At 36.8% G+C, this 4,295-nt stretch overlaps 1 long non-coding RNA gene across 1 annotated transcript; it reads right to left on the bottom strand.

Moving 5' to 3' along the window:
• Positions 1-1,576: 1,576 nt before the first annotated feature.
• On the bottom strand, positions 1,577-3,771 carry LOC105378262 (uncharacterized). The gene is made up of 2 exons (XR_001741504.2): positions 3,652-3,771; positions 1,577-1,706 (listed from the first exon to the last, which is right to left on the bottom strand). It is a non-coding gene; the product is annotated as an uncharacterized LOC105378262 (long non-coding RNA).
• Between the last annotated feature and the right edge of the window lie 524 nt (positions 3,772-4,295).

Here is a 4,295-nt window from a genome sequence, read left to right as displayed (position 1 = left end):
TAGCACTACAATAATGATGGGAGTGCAGATATCTCTTCAACACACTTATTTCATCTCCTTTGCATATATACTCAATAATGAGATTGCTGAATCATATGGTATGATAGTTCTAGTTTTAATTTTTTGAAGAAACTTCATATTGTTTTTTATAATGGCTTTGCTTATTTACGTTCTCACCAGCAGTGTATAAGAATTTCTCTTTCTCCACATCCTTATCAGCATTTGTTTGTTTTCTTTTTGATAAAAACCGTTCTAACCATAGTGAGGCAGTATCTCATTGTGGTTTTGATTGCATTTCCCTGATGATTAGTGCTTTTGTCCATTTCCTTTGCTTAGAACAGATTACATGAACCTTGTCGATTTATAAAGTAAAAAAAAATTATTTCTTGTAGTTATAAATGCTGAGAAGTCCAAGATGGAGAGGTCGCATCTGGTGAGGATCTTCTTGCTTGTGGGGAATCTCTGCATACTCTGGAGGTGGTGCAGAGCCTCACACAATAAGGAAGCTGAACATGCTAGCACAAGTCTCTCTTTCTCTTTTTATAAATCCAACAGTTCCACTCCCACGATAACACATTAATTCATTAACCCATTAATCTGTTAATTCATGAACGGATTCATCCATTCAGGAGGGCAGAACTCTTATTATCCAAACACCTCTTAAAGGCCTTAACCCTCAATACTGCCAATTGGGGATTAAGTTTCAACATGAATTTTAAAGGGGGATAATATTCCAACTATAGCAATTAATTGTTTTTGAATTTTTATACCATATTTTTACTGTAACTTTTCTATGTTCAGATGTATTTAGATACAAAAGTATTTACCAAACTGTTTCAATTTTTCCCAATATTCAGTACAGTAACAGTTTAAAAGTTTGCAGCCAGGGAGAAAAAGATTACTACATAGCCTAGGTGTGTAGTAGGCTACACAATCTAGGTTTGTGTAAGTGCAGTCTACAATGCTCACACAATGGAGAAATTGCCTAACGATACATTTCTCAAAAGATATCCTCATTGTTAAGCATGATATTGACTATTGCCATAGTCAATGGTCTTATAACCTCAATGGATAATATTTTTGATAAAAATATATTTGAATCCATCTCATTTAATTTAGAAGGGTAAGAATGTTAGTTCAGAAATTCAAGAGTACCAAAAATATTAAAAATTTGAAAGTATGATCCTTAATTCACACTCTGGTGAATCGATAAGAAATTCATTAACAGTGACTATTGAGTCTAGGTCCATTTTCTCAGATTTCACCAAGTTCCAAGCTCTTACTCATTGCAGAAGACCACTCCAGTTAGTGGACATTTGTGCATGCTGGTTATTACAGTGATGTCCAAGGTGCTTTCTGTTTCAATAGCTCCGCTGCTTTTATGCAATAATTAAGAATGCATTTTTTTTGTATATTTGGAGCACCTGGGTCTTGAATTCAGCCTTTACTGATTCATCACAGTTATCTCTTCTGAGATCTTGCTACATCCTACCCCAGATGCTCCCAAAGAGCAATAAAGAAATATGCTCATTGTCTTAATCCACTTGGCTGCCTTAATAAAATACCACAGATTGAGTCACTTATACAACATAATTTTATTTTCCAGCATTCTGGAAGCTGAAAGTCTGAGATCAGAGTGTCAGCATGGTGGGATACAGGTTAGGGTTCTCTTCCTCACTTGCAGAAGTCTGCCTTCTTGTTGTGTCCTTGCATGACGAGAGAGAGAGAGAGAAAAAGAAAGAAAGAGGATGCTGTTTTTCCTTCCTATAGGGGCACTAATCCTATCATGACAGCCTCGCTCTCCTGACCTCATCTAAACCTTAATTACTTCTCAAGAGCTTCATCTCCAAATACCACCACATTAGGGGTTAAGTCTTCAACATATGAATTTTCCAGGGGGATACATTTCAGTCTGTAGTACTGAGTTGCATATTATTTATGTAATCTTCTCTCACCACATACACACATACACACAGACACACACACACACACACACACACAACCTGTGGCCTTTTTGAAATATATCTATTTTTGATTCTTGTTCTCAAAAATGCCTAACAGATTGCAATCCATTATTTTTCAGACAGCTACTACAGTATTACTATTACAAATAAAAATAAAATAATGAAGAATAATAAAAATCAGAAAAATATTAAATACCCTAGTATCATCCTGCAAGGAATGAGAATAGAATGGTGTGGGATATTAAAGGCTGGGTACAGTGGCTCACACCTGTAATCCCAGCATTTTGGGAGGCCGAGGTGGGTAGATCACCTGAGGTCAGGAGTTCGAGACCAGCCTGATCAATATGATGAAACCCCGTCTCTACTAAAAATAAAAAAAAATTAACCAGGCATGGTGGCACGCACTGTAATTCCAGCTACTTGGGAGGCTGAGACAGGAGAATTGCTTGAATCGGGAGGCAGAGGCTGCTGTGAGCCGAGATCATGCCATTACACTCCCGCCTGAGCAACAAAAGCAAAACTCCGTCTCAAAAAAAAAAAAAAAAAAAGAATGGTGTGGGATATTTTGTCAAAAATATTGTTGAGAGCTTTTTTATTTTGAATTTTATTTAAGATGGTAAGCAAAAGGCTTAGCACAATAGGTAATTATGAAATACTCTTGTTCTACCACCAGAACTATTTTTTTTACATTGTATAAAAAGGACATTCCAGTTTCTCAACAATAAATTGTGTTGCTCCATGTCACCTTCTGTTTAAATCAAAACCTCCTCCACTCCTTACAGTTCCTTATTTAATTGTTCTTGGAGCCATAATTTTAAGCCTATCAGTCAATTGAAGGGAATCAAAGATGCTTCAAGAAATTATACCTGGTTTAACCTCCAAGCGGTAAGTACTAATTTTATAAGAAGAAAACAGACATATCTATAAACTATTTTAAACAACCTAAATATGAATAATTATGCCCATATTAAGAAACTAGACTTTCTTCAAACACCCTTCAAGTGTCTTCTTTAATTAAACGTGAAATAAAGGAAATGTTCTAAATATTAAAGATTATTTTCATGTAAAAAAATCATTGTTATGATTCTTAATAATATTAATGGGCTCCCAATGTTTACAGAAATCTGGGGATAATGTCACAGAGACAAATTCTAAAACCATGGGCAAGCCGGGTGCAGTGGCTCACACCTATAATCCCAGCACTTTGGGAGGTTGAGGCAGGTGGATCACTTGAGTCCAGAAGTTTGAGACCAGCCTGACCAACATGGCGAAACCCTGTCTCTACTAAAAATACAAAAATTAGCCAGACGTGGTAGAGGGTGTCTGTAATCCCAGCTACTTCAGAGGCTGAGGCAGGGAGAATCGTGTGAACCCGGGAGGCAGAGGTTGCAGTGAGCCTAGATCGCACGACTGCACTCCAGGCTGGGCTACACAGAGCAAGACAGTCAAAAAATATTGTGAGGAAAAACAATAAAAGTTCCTTTTGAAAAAAAGAAATTTCGGTGCTAGATTTCTAGCTTCTCTGTCACGTGTTGAACATTAAGAACACTTACAAGAATAGTGAAAGCAGTAAAGTATGGCCTGGAAATCAATGAACTGATTGACATCAGACTGGAACTCTAGACCTAGGGTTAGCAAATGATTTTATGTTTGTTAGAGAGAAGCACAAGTTCAGGAGCAGTTTTACCTTGTTGCCTCATCTGAATCAGTTTGGGCTGCTGTAACAAAAATCCCATAGACTGGGTAGAGTAAACCATCAACATTGATTTCTAACAGTACTGGAGGCTGAAAGTTCAAGATCAGGGTGCCAGCACAGTCAGGTTCTTGGTGACAGCTCTCTTTCCGGTTTGCAGGTGGCTGTCTTCCAGTCATATCCTTCTAAAGTAAAGAACACAGAGAGAAAGCAAGCTTTCATGTCTCTTCTTGTGAAGTCACTAATACCATTGATGAGTGCTCCACCCTTATGACTTAATTACCTCCTGCAGACTTCAACTCCTAATACCATCACATTGCGGGTCAAGATTTCAAAATATAACTGGGGGGATACAAACATTCAGTCTATAACATCCTTCATAATTTTCACAAAGGTAACAAATGGTGATGCTGTAATAGATTAAATATGGTTGTTAAATAGGAGTATTATTTGGCATTTTCTAATGCCAGTTATAATTATAAAGAATATAGATTGATAAAATGTATAGTATGTAGGAATACTGACAAAAGGTAGAAAAGCTATTAATTGCTAAGCACTACTGAACCCAAATCTTCAGTGATTGCTAATATCAAAGAAAGCTTCATGCCACCATTATTACATTAGCCTCATACATCATA

The sequence above is a fragment of the Homo sapiens genome, chromosome 4 (genome assembly GCF_000001405.40).
Source record: "Homo sapiens chromosome 4, GRCh38.p14 Primary Assembly".
NCBI lineage: Eukaryota > Metazoa > Chordata > Mammalia > Primates > Hominidae > Homo > Homo sapiens.
This window is presented reverse-complemented; position numbering and strand designations above follow the sequence as displayed.